The sequence below is a fragment of the Homo sapiens genome, chromosome 15, assembly GCF_000001405.40.
Source record: "Homo sapiens chromosome 15, GRCh38.p14 Primary Assembly".
NCBI classification, from domain to species: domain Eukaryota; kingdom Metazoa; phylum Chordata; class Mammalia; order Primates; family Hominidae; genus Homo; species Homo sapiens.
Window position 1 is genome coordinate 24,335,194 of NC_000015.10, and position 24,576 is coordinate 24,359,769.

Consider the following 24,576-nt stretch of genomic DNA (forward strand, 5'->3'; position numbering starts at 1 on the left):
GAAGTGGCCATTTTAGAGGCCTACACTCAGGATCGCATTCTCTTTCTCAGGGATGTTCCTTGCTGAGAAAAAGAATTCAGTGATATTTCTCCCATTTGCTTTTGAAAGAAGAGAAATATGGCTCTGTTCTGCCCAGCTCACTGGCGGTCAGAGTTTAATGTTATCTCTCTTGTTCCCTGAACATTGCTGTTATCCTGTTCTTTTTTCAAGGTGCCCAGATTTCATATTGTTCAAACACACATGCTCTACAAACACTTTGTGCAGTTAATGCAATCATCACAGGGTCCTGAGGCGACACACATCCTCCTCAGTTTACGAAGATGATGGGATTAAGAGATTAAAGTAAAGACAGGCATAGGAAATCACAAGGGCATTGATTGGGGAAGTGATAAGTGTCCATGAAATCTTCACAATTTATGTTCAGAGATTGCAGTAAAGACAGGAGTAAGAAATTATAAAAGTCTGAATTTGGGGAACTAGTAAATGTCCATGAAATCTTCACAATCCACGTTCTTCTGCCATGGCTTCAGCCAGTCCCTCGGTTCCGGGTCTCTGACTTCCCACAACATCTCTCCTTCTCACGTAGTAGATATACACACACACGGTACATGATATGTTTTGGTACAGGCATGTAATGTGAAATAAGCACACATCATGGAGAATTGGACAACTATCTCTATGAGCATTTATCCTTTGAGTTACAAACAATTCAATTATGCTTTTTAAGTTTTGTAAAAATATACAATTATTATTGACTTTCATAGTTACCCTGTTATGCCATCAAACAGTTTGTTTTATTCATTCTTTCTATTTGTTTTGTAACCATTAAACATCCCTACCTTCCCCCAGCCCACTGCTACCATTTCCAGCCTCTGTTAACCATCCTTCTACTCTCTGTATCCATGAGTTCAACTGTTTTGATTTTTAGAACCCACAAATAAGTGACAACATGTGATATTTGTCTTTCTGTGCCTGGTTTATTTCACTGAAGATAGTGATCTCCAGTTTTATCCCTGTTGTTACAAATGACTGGGTCTCTTTATTTTTTATGGCTTAATAGTACTCCACTGTTTATATGCACCATATGTTCTTTATCCAGTCATCTGTTGATGGACACTTAGATTGCTTCCAAATCTTAGCTGTTGTAAACAGTGCTGCAACAAGCATAGGAGTGCAGATATCTCGTTGATATACTGATTTCCTTTCTTTGGGGTATATATCCAGCAGCCTACTGCTGGGTATATTTGGTAGCTCAATTTTAGTTTTCTGAGGAACCTCCAAACTGTTCTCCATAGTGGTTGTGCTAATTTACATTCCCACCAACTGTGTACAAGGGTTGCTTTTCTCCACATCCTCACCAGCATTTGTTATTACCTGTCTTTTGGATAAAAGCTATTTTACCTGGGGTGAGATGATATCTCATTGTAGTTTTGATTTGCATTTCTCTGATGATTAATGATTTTGAGCACCTTTTCATATGCTTGTTTGCCATTTGTATGTCTTTTGAGAAATACTTATTCCAATATTTTGTCCTTTTTTGGTTGGATTATTTGACTTTTTTCCTATAGGGTTGTTTGAGCTGCCTATATATTCTAGTTATTAATCCATCAGATGGGTAGTTTGCAAATATTTTTTCCCATTCTGTGGATTGTCGCTTCACTTTGTTGATTATATCCTATGCTGTACGGGAGCTTTTAACTTGATATGATCTCATTTGCCCATTTTTGCATTGGTTGCGTATGCTTGTGGGATATTGCTCAAGAAATTTTCTCCTAGACCAACATACTGGAGAGTTTCCTTAATGTTTTCTTGTAGTACTTTCGTAGTTGGAGGTCTTCAATTTAAGTCTTTAATCCATTTTGACTTGATTTTTTGCATACAGTGAGAGACAGAGTTCTAGTTTCATTCTTCTGCATATGGATAACCAGTTTTCCCAGCACCATTTATTTAAGAGACTGGCTTTTTCCCCAGTGTACCTTCTTGGCAACTTTGTCAAAAATGACATAACTGTAGGGTTGTGGATTTGTTCCTTGGTTTTCTATTCTGTTCCATAGGTCTATATGGGTATTTTTATTCCAATACCTTGCTGTTTCATTTACTATAGCTCTCTAGTATAATTGGAAGTCAGGTAATGTAATTCCTCTAGTTTTGTTCTTTCTGCTTAGGATAGCTATGGCTATTCTGGGTCTTTTGTTGTTCCATATCCTTAACACAATTTTGATTACTATTGCTTTTGTGGTATGTTTTGAAATCAGAAAGTAGCATTTTACTACACAAACTTTGTTCTTTTTCAAAATTATTTTGTCTGTTCTGGAATTCTATTGCATTATATATGAATTTTAGAGTAAAATTGTCAATTAGGGGAGAAAATGTCACCTAGGATTTAGCTAGGGATTGCATTAGATATATTTGGAAAGTACCAGCAAGCTAATGATACTAAGCTTTCTAATCAGTGAAAGCTCAATGTATTTAATTTATAATAGTATTAATTTGTTTGATATGTTTTGTAGTCCTCAGTATATGTATCTTATACTTATTTTATTAAATTAATTCATAGGTATTTAACTTTTATGCCATTTTACATGAAATGGTTTTTGAAATTTTGTTTTTAGATTGTTAATTGCTAATAAATAAAAATACAGTTGATTTTGTATATTGACCTGTACTAAGCTGTACTACAAGCCTGCTTATCCCTTTTTTCATATTTTGTTATGTTTTATTAGAGATTTTATGATGTCTATAGACAGGATCATGTCATTTGGAGACATAATTTGACTTTCCTTCCAATCGGACTGCGTTATGTTTATTTTCTACACCAATTACCTTGGCCACATCCTCCAGTACAGTGGCGACTAATACTGTGAAAGTGATATCCTTCTCTTGTTTCTAATTTTACAAGAAAGTTCTTGAGCTTCTCAGAAGATTTAGGATGTCATGTGAGGTTTTCTGTGCTTTCATGATAAGGAAACTTTTCTTATTTGCCTAACTTTTTGCATGGTTTTATAAGGAATGAAATTTCACTTTAGCAGGTGCTTATTGCTCATCTTTTAAGATGACCATGTGTATTGTGTCCCTTATCTCTTAATATAGTTTATGGCACCAATTCTTTTCGTATGTTGAACTAAATTTGCATTCGTAAGATGTATACCTTCATCAAAATTTATAAATTTTTACATGCCAGTTATTTGCTTTGATAGTATTCCCTTTAATTTTTGTTTTTATGTTCATAAGTCATATTGATCATAGTTTTTCTTCAGTAACTTTGTCTAGCTGTGGTATAAGGCTGATAACTCAGATTGGAAAGTGATCTATTCTTCGTGTTGCTCTTACTGTTTTTTATGTGAAAGGTCTAAATTGATCTAGCACAAATAGAATTGAACACATGAAAAGGAGAAAAAATGTACATTTTTTCAAGATAATTTTCAGACTTTGCAAACAATTATATTGTATAAGTGAATAAAACCAAATCAGAGTAGTAAAAAGATGTAATTGGGCTACATAGATGGAGATTTAGAAAACACTAGAAAGGGAGAGAGAAAGGTGGGTGATAAATTACTCTTTTTAATATGATTTCATTGTTTTGCATATTTCTTTCTTTAAATACATTACCTACAAGTATAGACAAAGATGAAAATGTGGGTTAACAGGTCCTCATTATTTAAAAGAAATATCAGATTTAATTCTGGTATTTCATTAAGGTCAATTTAGTTTGTATGCTCAGGAGACCTAACATGTAGACATTTGAAGTGACACATTTTGTGAGCCTTCATAAATATCTATAAAAAATGGAATATCACAGTTTTTAAAAACTTAAAAGTTGAGCAAAACAAGGATTTAAATATTATTATTAAAGTTGTTACCTATTCCAAGATGAGGACTTAGAAAAACAAACAGTTGGCAAACCAGTGCAGCAGGTGACATCCGTGAAGCCGCAGGCACACCCTGGGGACTGCGGTGTTGCTGGAGCTGACACTGCTGTGCTGCACATGTGGCTGCCACCAGTTTCCTCCCTCTCTGGGAAGTGGAATTTGAATTGCAAGTGATTATGGCTGATGGACGGAGGGACAAGACCACATTATCTCAAAATGCTTGGCTCTGTTGCTTGCTCCTCATTTCACTGCTAGGTGCCACAGGCTTGGGGTTTACTGTTTATTTTTTGAAAAATATATGATAAATTGGTATTAATTATTTGAAGATGTAAAATCATTCACTGGTGATGTCTTCTTGACCAAGTCAGGAAATTTTTTTTTTTTCACAAACAGGGTCTCACTCTGCATCCAGGCTGGAGCACAGTGGCATGAATGTAGCTCACTGCAGACTTGAACTCCTGGGGTCAAGCAATCCTTTTGCCTCAGCCACTTGAGTAGCTGGGGCCACAGGCACATGCCACCATGTCTGGCTAATCTTTTTTCTTCTTTTCTTCCTTCCTTTTTTTTGTGTGGTAGAAACAGGTTCTAAGTATGTTGCCCAAGCTGGTCCTGAACCCCTAGCCTCAAGTAATCCTCCTGCCTCAACCTACCAAAGCATTGGGATTACAAGTTTGACCCACCGTGATCAGTCCAGGGTAGGAAATGGAATCTTAGCAACTATCACATGAGCTTTGAGGGAATCCTTCTCCAGATGAGCCTTCAGTTGAGACCTCAGCCGTGGACATCATCTACATCTGGATTCCTGGCCCAGAGCAACTGTAAGTAATGTGTGTGTGATTTTGAGCCATCACACTATGTGGCAATTTGTTGTGCAGCAACTGATAACTAATACAAAAGATAGCACATTTAATTTCTAATACTACCCTGGATTAGATTCTGGAACAGAAAAATGGCATTACTAGAAAACCTGGTAAACTCAGAAGAAAGTCTGTAGTTCAGTTAATAGTTTTAAGCCACTGTAAGTTTATTAGTTTTCATAAATACATTATGGGTATATAAATAAGATGTAACATTCTAGTAAACTCCTGGGTATGTAAAACTAGCTATACTATGTTTGCATCTTTATGTGTATCTAAAATTATTTTAAAATGAAATCTTTGATTTTTTATTTTTAATTAAAAAAGACAGGCATGCATATGTTATCCCAGCTTCTGGGGAGGCTGACTTGGGAGGATTGCTTGAGCCCAGGAGTTCCAAACTGAAGTGAGCCATGATTGTGTCACTGCACTCCAGCTTGGGAAACAGAGGGAGATCAAGACTCAAACAAAAAATTGGCCTCAGAAGATGAATGGACATACAGAAAAAAAATAGCCAAGCAGATTTTCGCATACATTTACCCTTCCATACATACATCCATCTACTTCAGGAAGCCACTATCAAACTCAAGGAACTCTTGTCCATATTTGACCTCCCCATCACACTCTTTATTACCAAGTAACTCGTTTGAGTGTCAGTAACCTCTCTGTTTTCAGAGATATTTGCCTATGCCTCACATACCCCAGAAAGGCCCATTTTCAGATATCATTTAGGAACATATCTACAGGATCCCACTGAACATATTTTGGCAGACAAAGTTTCTGGATGCCAAAGACCAAGATTGAGGAATGTTAGTGACAAGAAATATAAATTATATTTTCATATTATGTTTTTTTTATTAATACAGGCTTAGTTTTCTAAAGATAATTCTGCCTTCAAGCCTTGTTGGAATTCTGTGATAATTTCTTTTCACTCCACGATCTCCATCAGGAATTTTATGGAACCTTGTATTCTGTTGAATACCAGAATTATATCAGCAATCCCCAAGCCCCAAAGTCACCAAATGGGCATCATCATGACAGCAGGTGAGTGGAATACAAAGATATATATGTATATATATATATATATATATATATGGTTGTTGGTGGTTTTGGCAGTTTCTACTTATCTGGACCTGGACAAAAAAATCTTTTCACACCAGATTTTTGGCAGCTGAGATTCAAAATAGCTTTTGCACAGGCATGGAAAACCTGATAGAGGCAAAACAACAGGCCAGGTGTGGTGGCTTATGCCTGTAATGCCAGCGCATTGGAAGGCCAAAGTGGGTGGATGGCTTGAGTCCAGGAGTTCAAGACCAGCCTGGGCAACATGGAAAAACTGTTTCTCTACAAAAAAATAGTAAAATTAGCTGAGTATAATGGCACACCCTGGTGGTCCCAGTTACTCAGGAGGCTGAGGCAGGTGGATGGATTGAGCCCAAGAGGTCAAGGCTGCAGTGAGCCGTGATTGTGTGACTGCACTGCAGCCTGAGCAATAAAGTCAGACCCAAGAAAGAAAGAGAGAGAGAGAGAGAGAGGAAAGAGAGAAAGAAGGAAAGAGGCAAAAAAGGGAAGGAAGGATAGGAAGGAAGAAAATACAACATATCCTCAACCCTCCAGCAGTGATCTAAGAGATAGACAGAGGCTGAGTGGTGATTCTGCATATGTGCTGGCTAAACAGAGAATCCCAGAGCAGGAAGGATTCTCCACTCACCGCACACACAACTTCCTGTTCAACACGCTGCTGGACAGCACCAGGGTTGTTTCCAGGGACCATGCCTAAAAACCCACAAAGACATCAGACTTCATTCTGCACACCAATGGCCATGTATAATGTTGACTTGTTTTTTGGTTTATAAACATGGGGTCTATTTTCTACACCATGGTAATAGTGACAGTGAGAAAATGAGCTCCTGTGACCTAGAAACTTGGAAGAGACATTCAGCTTCATGGAAGTCATTCCTCATTCTGAGATGAGGATTCTTAGCATTCCTGAAATGGCACTTCCTTGCTTAATTGTGTACCCTGTCAAGCACTGGAGGGAGAGGCCATCTCTGTTATCTCATTATACTGAGGAGGCAGAGTAGCTCCCTCTTATTGGTCTGATGCCTCACTTGGTAGCATCAAGGCAATCCGGGCCAACGCAGAGGCCGGCGCTAAGGGCCCCGTATGGCGGTACCGCAGTGGGAGCTGTTGGGGTGGAGCAGAGGCCAGGTGCGTTCTGGCTGTGGTGGTTGGAGCTGCTAAAACAGCTTGGGTGTAGGACATTTAAAAGTCCTAATTCTTCTTCATTGCTTTCTGCCTGAGTTTGGCTATCTGGCTTGTGAAGAGTCCTTTTTCCATTCTGTCCCTTGGTACAGCTGGCAGCTGGCGTCTTCCCTCATGGTATGAATCCTGATTTTCAAAAAGCATGAAGGCTTGGACATATGGTATTTTTTCTAATTTTCCAGACCTCTGACAAAATGAGTCTAACTGCATTAAAGACTAGTATTGGTTACGTCCAGTCAGAGGTCAAAATTTATAACCTAACTTGTCCACAGTCCAAACAGCACTGCAATAATAGACCGTTTTTCTCTTAGTCAAGGGCTCATAGGTATAGGATCTACACTTAGCTAGGGTATGCCCCAGGGGCTCCCAGAGGGGATAGAGACCTTGTTTCCCCTCCTGACTTGGTTTCTATATCCATACTGCTCTTCCCAGTTGAAACAGTGATGACCACTTTTATTTGTTGTCTCTCTTCTGTTCTGCACTGCTCATGTCCTTCAACCAGACCTCTGTGGGTTGGAAAGACTTTTCTAGCTTCATATAAGTAGTGCAGTAATAGCACTCATGGTCCTAAAGGAACACTTGTGCAAATCACACCACACAGCTGGGACAGCCAAAGAGATCAGAGAATAAATTCCTTGGGCAGGCTACTGATTAGCACCAGCTAGCACAGCACTCCCCCACCACCACCCCCACTCCGCCCCCCGCCCAGCCCCAACAGCACATCAACTTCATCCCAGGTCCATGTTCTGCTGTACTTAGTACCCTAGTAGAGGGTAACCGAATGGCAACAAATTAAATGGTAAATTAGGCAGATAAAAAGGGCAGAGGGGTTGGAGTCAGGACTGCCTAAACACTTAACCCATATGCTGTTAAGCTTTTTTTCACATAAACAACATTAAGCACCGTAAGCATGGTGGCAAGCCCTTTAGATAACCTATGGAATAGTTCACATCCTTCCTTTCCCCATAAAAACTGGCACAGTTGTGAGAAGTACTCCAGGGCCCCAAAAAGAGTGACCCTGCTAGGGCAGTGGAGGCTATTTCCCTCCAGGGCTGGATCCTGGATGGAGTGGGGCTTATGCAGATCACCCTGCAGAGGAAAGGAGGAGGAGGAGAGAGAGACAGAGATGAGGGCCTAAATGTAGATATTGTACCTTTTACAGTTGCAGGTTCAGACTGCAGAGTCCCGGACAGATCCCCACTAAAGGGCTGGGTAAACGGCCTGAAACCTCCTCTCAATTTCAGATGCCCTCCTGCCAATCAGCTGACTCCAAGTGGAGCAAAGCCCAGGTCTTGACATAGATACAGATACCATACATGCCCAGATGATGTCACAAGCAGCTATATGTAAACAGAGCAGAGGTCAGGTGACATCACAGAACAGGCAGAGGCAGTTCAGGGGGTATTCTGGTTGCCTTACCCAGCTCTGAAGTCTGTCAGCCTCTTCAGATGTCACTTGCCCTGTGGTAAGGAAGTGTAGTCAGCACCTGGTGCAGTGGCAAGAAGAGAAAGGAAGTTCCCCAAGACAGAAACATCTCAGCAGGTAAAGAGAAATTCCCTAGAGCCCCAATCATGGGACCAGCTAGTTGGAAGCAGGTGGCATTCCTGGGTAGTTTCTTTCCCTTCCAGTGGCCAGAATGGTTAAGCCTTGGTGTGCTTGTGTGTCTGATTGCCCCATTCATCGGAATCCAGACCAATGGTTTCAGGAACTCTGAGTGTGTTGTTCCCCTCTATGTGTCCATGTGTTCTCATCATTTAGCTCCCACTTATAAGTGAACATGGAGGTATTTGGTTTTCTGTTCCTGTGTTAGCTTGCTAAGAATAATGGACTGGCAGCTCCATTCCTGTCCCTGCAAAGGACATCATCTGGTTCTTCTTTATAGCTGCGTTGTATTCCATGGTGTATATGTGCCACATTTTCTTTATACAGTCTATCGTTGATGGACAATTACTTTGTTATTAGCTTTGTCCAGGAAAGAATTTAAGGGCAAGTGGGTGATGTTAGACTGCAATATTTTATTGAATGGTAGTGCTCCTAGCGGAGCAGGGTTAACTCTTAAGCAGTGTATTCAGAGGTGGCAACATATAGGCCTCTTGGCAACTGTATTTATATGCAATGAAACCCACTTTTAATTACATGCAAATTGAGGGGCAGTCAATGCAAATTGAGGCAGGAAAGGGGCAGTGACTTCTAGGTTGTCTCCATGGAAAGGGCAGTAACTTCTGAGTTGTGGCCATGGAATTTGTAAAGAGTTATGTGGTTGGTAGGAGTGTCTTATGTGAGTGACAAATGAAGACTGCCAGGGTGACATTTGCCACAATGTACAGGCTTCTGCCAGTTTTTTCACTTTATCCTATCTGGAGCAGATCTTATTTTGGTCATCAAGGCTGTGAAACCAGAAAACAAGTCCTTCCAGTCTCTTACCTCATAGTGACAAAAGACATTGAGCATATTTTCATGTGATTTTGGATACGACTATGGCTTTTTGAGAATTGGCTATGTAAGATTTTGCCATTTTTGATTGGGATATTTGCCTTTTTAATTTTGAGTTGTAAGACATTGCGTATTCTGGATAATAGACCATTACCACCTATAAAATTTGCAATTTTCAAATATTTTCTGCCATTCTTTGGGTGCCTCTTTGTATTTGATGGTGGACTTTAAATTGCAAAAGGTTTTAATTCTAATGAGGTTTATCATTTCTATATTTTCTACTTTTCTTTGTAATTTTTCAGTGTCATATCTTAAAACATTGTTTAACCAAAGACCACAAAGATGTATTCCTGTGTTCCTTTTTATGGGTTTGGTCTGTTTAGCTCTTATGTTTAGATGGATTATCATTTTGAGTCAATTATGTTTCTGGTATGAGGCAAGAGTCTAACTTGCATGTGGATATCCACTTGACCCAGAAACATTTGACAAGAAAATATTGCTTCATACCTAATTTATTTGGCCACATTATAAAAGCATTTCACCATAAATGTAAGGATTCATTTTTGAGTATTATATTCTACTCCATTGATCAATACATATATCCCTATATTAGTACCACAAATCTTGATTACTATTACTTTGTAGTAAGTTTTGAAATCAGGAAGCATATGTCTACTATGCAAACCCTTTTTGTCCTTCTCAAGAGTGTTTTGGCTGCTCAGTATCTATATTATATATAATTTTAGGATAAGCTTCTGAATTTAGGGGAAGGTAATGCCACCTGGGGTTTTGAGAGAAGTTGCATTAATTCTATAGATCCGTTTGGAAAATATTGCCTACCTAACAATATTAACCCTTCTAAACAATGAGCATTCAAAGATTTTCTATTAATTTTGTTCAATATGCGTTCTATCGTTTTTAGTGTACATATCTTATACTTAATTTGATAAGCTTATTCCTAAGTATTTTTGATGTGATCTCAATTGCAACGATTTTCTGAGTTTTGTTTTTAGATTGTTAATTGCTAGTATAGAGAAATTTAAAATATTTTATATATTTTATATACTGCAAACTTCTTTGAACTCATCTTTAAATTCTAAACATGTTTGATTAGAGTCCTTTGGACTTTTTATACATGAGATCATGTCATTTGCAAACAGTGAGAGTTTGACTTCCTTTCCATATTAGAAATATTATATTTTTCTAAATGATTTGCCCTGTCTACATTCTCCAGTACAATGTTGCAAACAAGTGTGAACAGTGGAAATAGGTGACTTGTTTCTAATATCAGAGAAATTAGTGAACCTTTCAGATTACTTATGATGATATGTGAGCTTTTCATAGATGCCCTTTGAAATGAAGAAAGTTCTCTTATCTGCCTAATTTGCTGCATGTTTTTATAATACTGAATCTGGGAATTTTCAAGTGCTTGTTGCACACCTTCTGAGATGATTGTGTAGTTTTTATTCTTTATTAATATAGTGTATGACATTAATTGTATCATATGTTGAACCAAACTTGCATTCCTGAGGTAAATACCTTTTGCCATAGTTTATAATACTTTCTACATGTTGCTGATTTCATTTGATAATGTCTCCCTGGTGATTTTTGTCTCTGTATTTATAAGGCATATTGGTCTTCATTCTCCTTATTTGAAATATATTTGTGTAGTTGTTCAATCAGGGTAAACGAATTCATAGTATACAATGGGAAGTAATCTATTTTCTACTTCTTTATTATTATTGTATTGTTTTGAAATATTTTTGATAAATTAGTATTAATTTTCTGTGATTTTAATAACACATCAGTGAGTTCCTGATGAGGGAAGGGAAGTGAATCCTAAGAACAATCATGTGAGTTTGGAAGGAGACCCTTCCCCAGCTGAGCCTCAGCCTGAGCCATCACCTACATCTAGACCGAAGACCCAGAGAAACCGTGAGTAATATGTGTGTGGTTCTGAGCCACTAAGGTACGTACTAATTTGTTATGCACCAAGTAGTAAGTAATATACTTGACAGTAATTGTAAGGTGGTATTCTGGATTAGGTCCTGGAATAGATAAGTATATGATTATTAAAAAACCTGGTAAAATATGAAGGAAGTTTGTAGATCAGTTAATAATCTCGAAAAACAGTTAAATTCTTAGTTTTCATGAATATGCTATGGTTATAATATATATTAACATTCTAGTTAGCTGAATGGTATATGAAACTGTCTGTACTTACCTATGTGCATTTATGTAAATCTGCAGTTATTTCAAAATAAATATGTTTTTTAATATTATTATTATTTTTTTAAGAAAAGTAAGCAAGTAAAGACATCAGCAAAAAACTTTTGCCTCCAGATACAAGTGGGCATGTAGGGAGAGAATAGTAAACTGGCTTTTCTTTTCTAGGCAACATTCGAAACCCAGGTGCCACTCCTTCAGGAAGGTACCATCAAGCTCCAAGGACTCTTATCCTCTTTCTCCTTCCCCACTACCTAGTCATTAGAGCGTCAGCATCCACTTCTTGAAAGGAAGATGCCTGTTTTTCACATATCCCAGAAAACCCCATTTTAGGACAGCATTTAGCAGAGTATATTCAGGATCCCACTAACCTTTTTGGAAGACATGACTTCCAGATGATATAAGGCAAGAATAAGAAATTTCAGTGACAGGGAACAGAAATCATATTTCTGCATTCAGGATCATGTTTTCTTGGTACGGGGATTTCTTCTTCAAGTAACCCAAGGTCAACTTTACCTTCAAACCTTTCAGAAAACCTGTTCTAATTTACTTTGCTTCTTTCTACAGGCTCCATCAGGAACTGTGCAGGACTGTGCACTCTGTTGATACTCACATGGTGGAATTATATTGCCTTTGGCCAACCCTAAAGCCATCAAGATAGCAGGTAAGCAGAGTACAAAAAATATTTCTCATAAGTTGGTGCAGGGCAGTCCCTGCTTCCAGAGGCCTGGGAATAAAACTTTACAACAGAGTTTTTGCAGGTGAATGATACTGAGTGATATATACATGTTGTGCACAAGAAGAGAAATCTCAGTAGACAAAAAAACAAACAAACAAAAAAACCAGTATACAGCATATCTCCAACCCTCCATGCAGTGATCTGAGAGACAGAAACAGGGTGACTGATGACTCTGCATGTGTACTCGCTGCCCACTAATTCTCCACACAGCTTCCTATTAAGAGGCCATTGCACTCTTCTTAGTAGCAGCAGAGTTGTTTTCAGGAACCATGCCTAAAAGGCCTACAAAGCCATGGAGGTACATATTAAACTCCCATTGACATCCATAAATCTTGAATAGCAGGATGTCACAGGCACAGATGACAAAGTGCTGAGCACTGAGTCCCCAGACAAACTTTCACTGCATGGAAGATATGATTTCGCACAGTATCCTAAATCAACAGTTGTATAGAGGCTGGTCTGGACACCACAAGTCTACAGAAGATGCTATTGCAAACAAACCACATTTTTAGACGACATCATGAGGCAAACCCAGTGCTCTGTCTCCACACTCTAACCTGATAAGAAGATTGAGTTCAAGGAAGGAATGTCTCATATATGTAATGGCATGGCTTTGTGTTTACTTAATTCAACCTTCCCGGAGTCTAAAACTCTAGGTGAAATTTCAGTCAGCCCCCTTAACTCTGACTGTATGAGTTTTTTCATCACTCAGTGTACTCATGAGGGGACATCGAAACCGATTCCAATATCCAATTACCCAAAGTAGAGTTGACCAGAGAAGCAAGGGGGCAGATCAGAATATCTTATAAAGACCATTATGCATTCACTTCTGCAGTGACTAATCATAAGGTGATTTCTACGATCACCAGCCATGTGATTAAAAGGACAAATGTGAATGAAGAAAAAGATATACAAATGTTACAGCTGAAAGAATGGAATCTGTAATGAAGTTTACAGGAAGCGTTGCTCATATTTCTAAGATTACAGTTTAAAGTTTCAAAATACAGGATTTTCCCACGTCTTTAGAGAGCTAGCACTCCAGTAAATTTTTCAAGTAACTCTTTACAATTTTCATCTTTGTCTTCAATGGATTTCTTAAACCATGGTTCATAGAACTATATTTCCATATGTGACATAAGAATTCTAGCACTCCACTAATAACTCTAATGTGTCTAAAATTATAAATGCAGTTTATAACACCTCTCTGGACACTCACTTTAATGAGAAGTGGACAAACTGGACTTCCCTAATGGAGGGCAGTGGTGAAGCTTCCAGGTAGAATATAAATGCAGTTTATAAATTTATATGGTAAGATTTAAGCATATTTCCTCAATAACAAACAAGAATATAGCCAATGAGCCACCATAATTTAACAGTGAGAAACAAGCAGTCACAGAGAAAACAGTGTATTCCATTCATCGTAGAGTGCACATTTTCACATCTATCAAATACAGATGCATCTTAAATTTGAAAGCGTTAAAACACTGTTGACGGGAAGGCAGTCATAATGTGATTGTCCTCATTTACCTGTATATGAGCTTTGTCTGCAAACCTCCTGTTGATGTTTTTGGGTGATGTCATCAACATCAGCATCAAATCTTGCACAGGAGGTTTCAGAAGGTTGAAAATAGAGACTCGCAGGAGCAAGGTAGGAATCTCACAGGAAATGCAGCATCACCAAATCCTCAGATTAGCACAAATGATGATAACATGGGGAACACCATGAGCAAGATGAATTGAAGAGTGATTTAGGAGAGTTGGATCTGAATGGGAGGAAATTTAGGAAAACCTTTGTTGGTGTATTTTCCTTATATGTTCCATCCCATGTAATCATAGGAGTGACAAAAGACAAGACAAATATCCACAGATATATGTCTTGAAAACAGCTTTTTTTCCAATAATTATAATATAATGATGTTATTATTATACAGTGTATTTCCACATGATAAAAGTATTAGTTTCATTGTTAGTGATTTTGTTCTTTCATTCTGATATAGGAAATAATGACACATTACAACTGATGCAATTGATACATCTCACAATTTATTAGAATATTTGTTTTTTGGGGTTAGTGTAGGCTTAGTAAGATACTACGTGGTTTATATGTTATCATTTCATACAATCCACCTGCCATCTCAGGAAGTAAGCACTATTCCCGCTCCTCTGGTCCATTTCCAAGTCTGAGCTAACTCTCGAAAGGAGAGGCCTAAAGGAACCTTGAGTTTGATTCTATATGCCCCACAGTCTTTGCTCACATCAACTACATAGATTATGTTTTGTCTTACATGGTAAATGCTTTTCAGGTCTAGTTTCAGACAGCTTAGCCTACCTCGTGGTCTTGAAGTTATTTTCCTGAATTGTGTTCTGTATACTCTACTAAATATTTTTATATTTATGTCTATGAACCAAGTATAATTAATTTTGTGTGTAATGTCAGGTCATAGGTCAGATTCTAATTTCTCCCTGTGGATATTCAATACCCTGGAACATTTTAATAAAAATCCAAGTTTCCCCCATGCAGCAACTTAAATATATGCTTATATATGCATATGTCTGATTTTTAAGTTATTGGTTGTTTATTCTATCTCTGTGCAAGTACCACACTCTTATTATTAAGAGAGTCTATTCAAGAATTTTCTCTCTAGAGATTGTTCTTTTTCTTCTTTTTTAAGAGATAATTTTGTTCTGTCACACCAACTGGGGTACAGTGGCACAAACATGGAACACATTCTGTGTGTGAGCTGCTGGACTCAAGTGATCCTCCCCGCTCAGCCTCCTGAGTAGCTGGGACTACAGGTGCAAGCCCCCATGCCCGGCTAATTTTTAATTCTTTTTAATGGAGAGGAGGTCTCTCTTTGTTGCCCAGGCTGATCTAGAACTCCTGGCCTTAAGCAATCCACCCTCCTTAGTCTCCCAAAGCATAGGAATTGCAAGCGTGATCCATTGTGCCTGGCCCAGGGCCTGTTCTTTTAATCACTGAGCTGCTCTATAATGAGGTGAAAGAAGTTCAGACGTGCATGCCTTGCACCTACAGCAATCCTTTCAGCTGTACCTTGAATGAGGCTGTGGATATACAACTTTAGAACGTTGCTATTGACTCTGAAATCTCTACGTCCTTGTGAATCTTAGGCAGTCTCCCAACACCACTATCCACTTTATGTATTTAGTATCTTAGACAACAGCCAATGTTGTTGAAAACCTGGAGAGGCAGCCCTGGCTGCCTACTGCCCTGCTGTAGATGATTCTGTGAACAGAGTCCCCCTCCAGACCATGCCCAACAAAGACAGGTTCACAGGGGAGCCTCTGAGCTCAGAGCCTCTCTGGGGGCTCTGCATGCACAAGGACAGCGCCTCCCTGCCTTGGTTGTGGGGTGAGGTAGGGAATTCAAGTCTTTTAAAAAAGGCTGAGGCCGGGCGCGGTGGCTCACGCCTGTAATCCCAGCACTTTGGGAGGCCGAGGCGGGCGGATCACGAGGTCAGGAGATCGAGACCATCCTGGCTAACACGGTGAAACCCCGTCTCTACTAAAAATACAAAAAATTAGCCAGGCGTGGTAGCGGGCGCCTGTAGTCCCAGCTACTCGGGAGGCTGAGGCAGGAGAATGGCGTGAACCCGGGAGGCGGAGCTTGCAGTGAGCCGAGATCGCGCCACTGCACTCCAGCCTGGGCGACAGAGCGAGACTCCGTCTCAAAAAAAAAAAAAAAAAAAAAAAAAAAGGCTGAGTTTGTTCAAAAATGATTCTGCTTGCTGACCAATGACACCTTAAGACTTTAGATTTTACATTGTGATATTTCTCCTTGATTTTGATTTAATTTGTTGTGCAAATGTCTTAAACGCTTTTGTATAAATATTCTCTTTTGTTGGTCATATAAATATCATCTAAAACCAAATGTTTTTTTTGTATCATAGATTTAAGGCCGTTATTTGTCTATTTTAAAAATGCATTCATAATTATTTTTCAATGAACCATATCAATTATTTTCATCTTTACTCCTATTTCCCTTTCATAAATTGAACGTTAATATCATTTTTATTAGAAGCGACAGACGTTACACATTCTGTTTTATGATTTTCCAGAAATTTCCCCTTAAATAGCTCTGGTTAAATAGAAGGACAGAAACTATTCTGTAAGCCACAAGGCAAAATTGTCCCACATTAAAAAGATCTTCTTATGCTTAAAAAGATCTGTCAAACTTTCTATTCTATGGCTTAGTTTGCTGTACATGTGAAAGGTTAACAAGGTATTGATTTGTGTGGCAGGAAAGTTAGACTTCACATCTGAATGCAAGGAGCAACGTCTTCTTAACCATGCTGGTGTGAACTTCATGATGTTGTTTCATATTCTCCTTGTACAAAAGATGTAGACATTGACTGGACTCCATAATTCCTTCCACCTCACCTCCGTGTACGTGTACATGACAGTTCTCTGTATGGATCACCCATTCTATTAGATATGAATTATTTTCTTATTTTTGATGACTGATGATTAAATTCGATTTTAGTTCTCAGTGATAGAAAAAATACCAGTTAGAAAATGTGTACCTCATGTGCTGTGATCAGAAAATATTTTTGTGCCATTAGCTTACAAAAATGAATTTCAATATTTTATTTATTGTCATTTTCATCCGGTTTAATAGTCTCAAAAGGTTTTCATGCTTGTGAATTTTTTAGATTTTACTTTTGTTTTCTTAGTCAAAACTGAGGCAAGTTTGGAGACATTTGTTCAAGATGTGTGAGACATAAGCAATCAACACAGCAAAACACTGGTATTTTATGGGAATATGTAATAATAGATGGGCACTTGCCCTGCTAGATATGGCAGCAGTCTGGGTCTGTGGGCTTCAGTGCTGTACACAGAATTGACAGATCCTGCTTGAAGGAAAATGTACCCCTCATCTGTTGTACGACAGCCTGGCACCATTTTGTTACGAAACCCAGGTTTGGCCATGGCCACTTCCAAAATCAAGTAACAGAAGGGTAGTAAAAAGAAAGTCACTGGCCGGGCGCGGTGGCTCACACCTGTAATCCCAGCACTTTGGGAGGCCGAGGCGGGATGATCACCTGAGGTCAGGAGTTCAAGACCAGCCTGGCCAACATGGCGAAACCCTGTCTGTACTAAAAATACAAAATTTAGCCAAGCACAGTGGCGTGTGCCTGTAATCCCAGCTACTGGGGGACAGAGCGAGACTCCGTCTCCAAAAAAAAAAAAAAAAAAAAGAAAGTCACTTTATTCCCGAGCTTAGCAATGTGGAAGGGCTGGATTCATATCTAAAGGAACCATGTAAGTTTTCTGGGCAGAAAACAGAGCTTTAAGAAGAAAAATTGGCAAGCAGGGCACGCAGAAGGGGTGTGGAGGTGTAGGATCTGCATGACTCGATGGATGACTTATCTCTAGTCATGAGTCATTCGTTAGCCTGCCCAGCATCACTGGGGACAGAGTCAGGTTGTGGATTAACTGATGTCTTGAGACAATCTCTCTTGTGGAGGAGAATTCTGGTGGATGCTTATTTTCGTTCAAGATTTGGTAATTTCTAAACAAACGTATACTTAGCTAAGCTGACAGTGCTTGCTTGTGATTTGGCTGGTGGAAAGGAAGGAGGGAAAAGTTTGAATTTGCATTTCTAAGGAGCTAAGTAAGACATGAACACACAGGAAAAAGAAAAAGTAAATATTTTTTAAGGAAAATGAAGTACTTGTTTACAACACCCCACTGTCAAATTCCACTTTATTTTTATTCAATTGGAGCATCATATTCATTTGGTCTGCTTGCTACTGAAAGTGGTCTAGTTATAGAGCATTAGAATGGAATCTGTGTACCTGGAGTTGGAAATATTCTTGAGTTTTCAGCAGGAACTTACTATGCATGTATGGTGTGTGGATCCAAGAATTTCTGAGAATGATTTCCTGCATCTCCATGCAGAGTGTACAGCAGCAATAAAATTCATAGCAGCTGAAGAGGGCGTTTAGCAGTATTAATAATATATATAAAAGTATTTTATGCACCAGGAAGCCGACTAAATCATGATGCCATAGAGTCCTGAGAGAGGGCATCTATAGCAGAAATATGGGTATCTACATGCATAGCTTGGGTTATATTGTGAGAATAATCTTGTGTGTGTGTGTGTGTGTGTGTGTGTGTATGTGTGTAAAATGGTCAGCCTTAATGAATGCAGAAGTGCCACCCTGGGCTGCAGTGAAGATATCTAAAGCCATATGATTTAAAGACATCATGAGATTAGACATAGCATTAGTTTGCTTGTGCATGTCTTTTAGGGCTGAGGATATGTTTCTGGAGTTACCCAGGAAGTACACACAGCATTTAGTCTTAATTATAGTGCAAATCCCCAAATGTCAGTTTACCCAGAGCTCCTGTGGAGATATGAGGACAAGTTGGTTAACTATACATACTTAACAGGCTACAGGAGGAGTTGTAAATGTTCATGAAGGTGGTGCTGACCTATGTATTAACAAATATCCATGGAACATATGACTCATTGATTTTGGGGCAGAGACTTAACTTTTAAATGTATTATAATTATGCCCTATATTTCAAAAGTTCTTTTTAGACAAAGGCATGCAAGTGTGTATTTACTGTAAACCGGCCAAAACTAGTTTATGGTGAGTGATCTTTTATCAGGAGAAAATTACCGAAATTGGTCCCTTGTCTACTTCAATCTGTAGTTATGGCTGGTGGAACAGTGTCTGGGGTCAGTCAGTCACCTTATCTTGAGGCTAATGCTTGCTTGGCTGCTAGAGAAACACAGAAACCTTGTGGCAGTTGTAAACATAGTCTGCTTTTTTTAAAGTGTAGGAATGTGAGACTTAACTCTTGCCTGGCACGTTCTTAAGTCCTGTTCATAGTTTAGTATTTTATTGTTATAAAGAGTCTGTTTTACAGTTTTTATTGTAACGTTAATGCTGATCAGTTGTGCCCAAATTCCCATAATGGGAGGAAGGTGTAGTGAAGCTTGTTCATCACACCTCTTGTTGTCATGGCCTGAATTAGTTTTTCAGGTTGCTTTGGGTAACATGGGGGTAGGGTTTGTCCATTAAGTTGGTGGGGGCTTAGGACTTTCTTTTATAGTTTATATTCTCGTTTTTTGTCAAGGTATGCCAGAGACAGTATTGGTAGCCACACTTTTATTTTCTCTCATGTCAATGGCAGAGCAGCATGCTACCTGACCTGTGTCCATCATGTTTCTTGGTGCTACCACTATGGCCAAGGGACTTAGAATCGTAAGTCTTATATCCAATTATATCCAATTCCAGTCTGTAGGCCAGACTGGAATGAATGCGGCAGGCTGTCATTAATCCTTAAAACCCCTTTTAAGCAATGTAAGAGCCAAAAACTAAAAGTCAAAAGGTAAGGTTATGTAACTGAATTGTCTCTGAACTTTATGCATTGAGCTGTTGTAATCTTGGCTTATAGGAACCATAGCTATAGAAAACATAAGTATTTTATTTAGCTGTTTAGGCATCTGTATGCCCATCCTTTATTTGGGGGGTCTGAATTAATTTTATTCCACAAGAACCAGCCCTTACAAACTCATGCATTCGTATCTTCCATGATAGTCCCTGGGTCTGGAGAAATTGAACCGTTTTAAATTCTGGATATATTAATGAAACAAAATATTCACCATTAACAACATTTTAGCAAAAAATGCCATAAGCCTTGTCTTGTTCCAAGAGTGACAGGACTGAGACAGGCATACGAGGTCAGGAGATCGAGACCATCCTGGCCAACATGGTAAAACCCCGTTTCTACTTAAAGACAAAAAAATAGCTTGGCGTGGTGGTGCACGCCTGTAGTCCCAGCTACTCAGGAGGCTGAGGCAGGGAAATTGCTTGAACCCGGGAGGCAGAGATTGCAGTGAGCCAAGATCACGCCACTGCACTCCAGCCTGGGCAACAGAGCAAGAGTCCGTCTCAAAAAAAAAGAATGAGTGACGGGAAAGGAATCCTATAGGTAGATAAACATTTAAATTATTTAGTATTAAGGCACAGAATAAATTATATTTCTTGTATTTCTATTTCAGATAGAAGGTAAATTATTAAATAAAGTTTAATACATGCCTGTCCCTGTGTTGCATGAAAGCAGTGTACTTTGATTATTGCCTTTGCTTGAGTCTAAAGATGAGGCTTTGGTTAAGTTGAGTTTGATCTTAGATGCTGGCAGGAGTCTGTGTCTTCTTTAGAGGAGCTACATGTATCCAGGAGTCAGTTCCTTGTACCTTAGCATGACAATGATTAGTTAATAGCACCTGATAAGAACTTTTTCAGGGTATTGGAGGTGGTGATACACTGCATAGTGATTAATGTTTTTTAGCTTTGATAAGTGACAGCAAGAAGTCAGAGACTTAATTTAGGATTCAGTTTTGGAGATGTCTGTGAAAGATGTGAGAAAGCTTAAAATATTTGATCAAAACTGAACCACAGTTCCTTGTAAATGAATAGTTATTCATTTAACCAAAGTGATCTTTGAAAGACTTTAAAGGCAATAGAAAAAGTTACACGGGTATAAAATCCTTACTCCTCTCAAATTTCAGGGGTTTTTTAAAAGCAATTAAACACTTAATAAAGGCAGCATAGGAACTATCTTGATAAAATGTAAAATCTTGTTTCTTAAGCCAGTTACCAAAAAGTCAAAGGAAAACCTTTTTTAGTGTGACTGCCTCTCCTTAGAAGAAAGCCCATTTAGATAATCTGGAAGTACAACTTAAGATAACAAGTGCTTGAATTTAATCAAACATGGGAAGAGTGTGTACAAGGTTTTGAGTAGAACTGGGGAATACATGACTCTTAGTAGCTGCATGATAAGTTTCCTGATTACAGTGAAAATTTAGACACACCAAAAACAACAACAAGAAAAAAATCAAGAGTATACAATCAGGTTATCCTGGAGGAAAACATTTCTTTTATAGACCTCTAAGATAAAATATTTCAGCATCAGCCACAACAACATTTAGAAGTAAGGAGAAAAGTTACAGGAGCTGACAAGAAGCTGAAGGATAGAGTTATCATCCCAGGCCACATCAAAGGGAGAAAAAGCTGATAGTAGCAAGACAACAATTGAACATTTGAGATATGAATCTCAGAAGTTTTCAAAAGAAGTAGATTATAGAACAGAAAATCAAAGTTTACTGTAATTTTATTAAGAGTAAATTGATATCTTAAGAAAATCTTGATTTAACATAGGGGACCATTCTTTAGAAAGACTATTATTAACAGTTCCTTTTTAATTATGGCTTAGTTAATTGCATACAAAATTTCTTCTATACTGGCTCAGTTGTGAGAATTGAGTGAGGTTCTGTGAGTCTCTGGTTCTTAGGATTTGAGGCAGAATCTTGTTCATTTGATCTAAAGATTTTCTGCTTTTTCAAATCCAGTAAGCATTTAGTAGGCTACCTGTGTACTTGAATTCCAAGGACACTATTATAAACTAGCCAGCAACATAAATCTATAGGAATCAGATGAACCTGATTGTTGCTTCGCCTTTGCTGTCCATTGAGATAACTATGCCAACCTTGTCTTTGAAGACTGAGTGTTGCTACTTGCTCCCAGGTTTCCCTGTAACCCAGTTATTCCCATTGCATTTTGATTTTCCAATTGGTGTACTCTGGTTTCTATATTAAGGTCTGGTCTACCGAGAAGAGAGATCAAAGAGCTCTTCAGCTGTTCCCAGCTCCCCACACAAATCTACCTAACAAAGTCCCGATAAACAGTCTGTTTTCTGGAGTCTATCAATACTGGTAAGTTGCATTTATTTATTTAGAGACAGAGTCTCACCTTTTTTGCCCAGGCTGGAGCGCAATGGCATGATCTCAGCTCACTGCAACCTCTGCCTCCTCGATTGAAACCATCCTCCTGCCTCAGCCTCCTGAGTAGCTGGGGCAACAGGTGTGTGCCTCATGTCTGGCTAATTTTTGTAGTTTTATTGTAGAGATGGGGTTTCACTGTGTTGGCAAGGCTGGTCTTAAACTCCTGACCTCAAGTGATGGACCTGTCTCGGCTTCCAAAAGTGCTGGGATTACAGGCATGAGCCACTATGCCCTGCTGTAAGTTGCTTTTAAGTGGGAAATCCATTCTAGCATTCCTGTCTCTCCAGGCCTATGAATTCCTTCATCCAACATAATGCAGGGAAGATGCGGGAATCACTGACTTGCTCATGGTCATACATCTGTTGAACTATATTTCAGCCAACCAGTCATAACACTACTACTACCATCCTTAAATACCGAAGCTGCAACATTAAACCGGAATATCTGCTTAATGGCCCCATATCATTAAATTTGGACTGATTCAAGTTTATATTCCTTCTACTGTTATCAACACTTTTTTTTTCTTGTTTTGGTTTCTTACAGATGAGGTCTTGTTCTTTTGGCCAGGCTGGAGTGCAGTGGTACAGTCGTGACTCACTGCAGCTTCAAACACCTGGGTTCCAGCATTCATCCCACTTCAGCCTCCCGTGTAGCCGGGACTACAGGTACAAGCCACCACACCCAGCTATCCACAGCCATAATCTTTATTTCCACATAGGGTCTTCAGATTTCTGTTTGCATTAGTTAGAAAACTCAGGTAGCTTTTTTGACATAGATCACACCTCCTCATGGGAAATACTATCCATCAGCTTTAGGGGCCTGTTGTAACTTTAGTCTCACCATGAGTCTAGAAGAAACACAGCTGTCAGGGGTGGGTCTTGAAGATAATCAGCAATGTATTGCTTGACAGCTGCTTCAGGGGAAGCCATTACCGTTTCCTTAGGCATTGTAGCTGTAAGCTACTCAGACGTATATGGAAAGGCCTACATCACCTTGTGTGGGAAGGCCATTGCCAAGGGGGTGGCTGTGAGGAGGCCACTTCTGCTGGCAATAAAAACTCATTAGAATTTAGGAGATCAATGTCCCCAGCCACATCAGTCTTCCCATACATCGTCATCCCAAGTTACAGGATGCTATTCCTTATCAACTTCCACTTCAACAGTAGACACCCTGCCAGACTCAGTTCAATGTTTCTTGTAATTCAGCCAGTGGCATGATATGGGCTTGTGTTTGACCTTTAGCAAATACTTCCCTGTGGCTACAAGAGAGTTTTCTGGCTCAGAGCACAGGTAGAAACTCTTAGGCTGTTTATGTGGAGCTGGTTCTGCAAAATTGAATCCCTAAGCTCATTATTGTCTTTCATCAAATTTCCCAGTGAAATTAGAAGCAAGAAACCCGTCATCATTATGTGCCATGGTTTTAAACAAATGTCTGTATCACATACAGAGTAAACAAGTACCTTGCCTCTTATCAGTGTTTAATTAAGAGTATCAAATGCAGATATTTTGGGGATCTCTAAAAACAGTTCATGTCATTGACTGTCATTGCTCTTTCTACTGTTAAAAGTACAGTTCTTAGAATTTAGGTCCAATCAGATTAGAAAGCCAATTCTAGAAACCCCAAATTTGATTAAGGACACTCATGCTTAAAATTCTCTTTGTATAGAACCGTTCATACTACCAAAGTCTATACTAGTCAGGGTTATCGAGAGCAATGGAACCAATAGGATAGACACGTAGGAGCTAGCGGTAGATAGATAGATAGATAGATAGATAGATAGATAGGGATTTTTAGGGGAACTGAATCACATGATTATGGAGGCTGACCGTTTCCACCACATGCCATGTAAAGCTGGAGATCCTAGGATGCTTGTTGGGTACCATAGTCTAAGTCCAAAATGCTCAAACCAGAGAAAACCTTGGTTAAACCCTCAGTATAAGGCTGAATGCCATCAGAAAGTCTTTCAATTGAGTCCCCTGTCATTTTGAAATACCACCATATTTAAAATTTAACATTGTTATGTGGCTGATTCATTGGTTGCATTGTTTTTGAGCATTTTGTTGTTTGATCACCACTAGATACTCCAGGCTAATTGTATTTAGTCCCTGTTCAAGTCTATTATTGAGCTTTTTCTCACAGGTCCCTATCTTTTTTGTTGGAGAATGAAATTAAAAAAGATTTGGACACTCATTGGTTGTACACATTGTTACTGGGGAATGTGTTGATTGGAGGCCTTGTTAGCTAACAGAGCAAAGAGTAAATATACACATATGTTTACAAATTTCTACAAGTCTCCATATGTATCTGCATTAAATTAAACATGAATTCCTACAGCCTCCTCCGTCCCACACAGTCTTATTCAGCACTATG

The 24,576-nt window shown here is 38.9% G+C and overlaps 2 long non-coding RNA genes across 3 annotated transcripts in view; one reads left to right on the forward strand and one right to left on the reverse strand.

Moving 5' to 3' along the window:
• The window catches only part of LOC105370733 (uncharacterized), a 440,742-nt gene that overhangs the window by 233,514 nt on the left and 182,652 nt on the right, over positions 1-24,576 (forward strand). Inside the window, exons 1-5 of one of the 2 annotated variants that reach the window (XR_007064538.1) lie at positions 7,706-8,533; positions 11,233-12,124; positions 12,218-12,314; positions 22,022-22,137; positions 22,750-22,871. The exons of the other annotated variant lie outside the window; for it this stretch is intronic. This is a non-coding gene — a long non-coding RNA (uncharacterized LOC105370733). Of the gene's footprint in view, positions 1-7,705; positions 8,534-11,232; positions 12,125-12,217; positions 12,315-22,021; positions 22,138-22,749; positions 22,872-24,576 lie in introns of those variants that run through there. 2 annotated transcript variants of the gene reach the window in all.
• Positions 5,562-8,305, reverse strand: LOC102723749 (uncharacterized). Its single transcript, XR_007064540.1, has 3 exons — positions 8,145-8,305; positions 6,438-6,502; positions 5,562-5,697 (listed from the first exon to the last, which is right to left on the reverse strand). It is a non-coding gene; the product is annotated as an uncharacterized LOC102723749 (long non-coding RNA).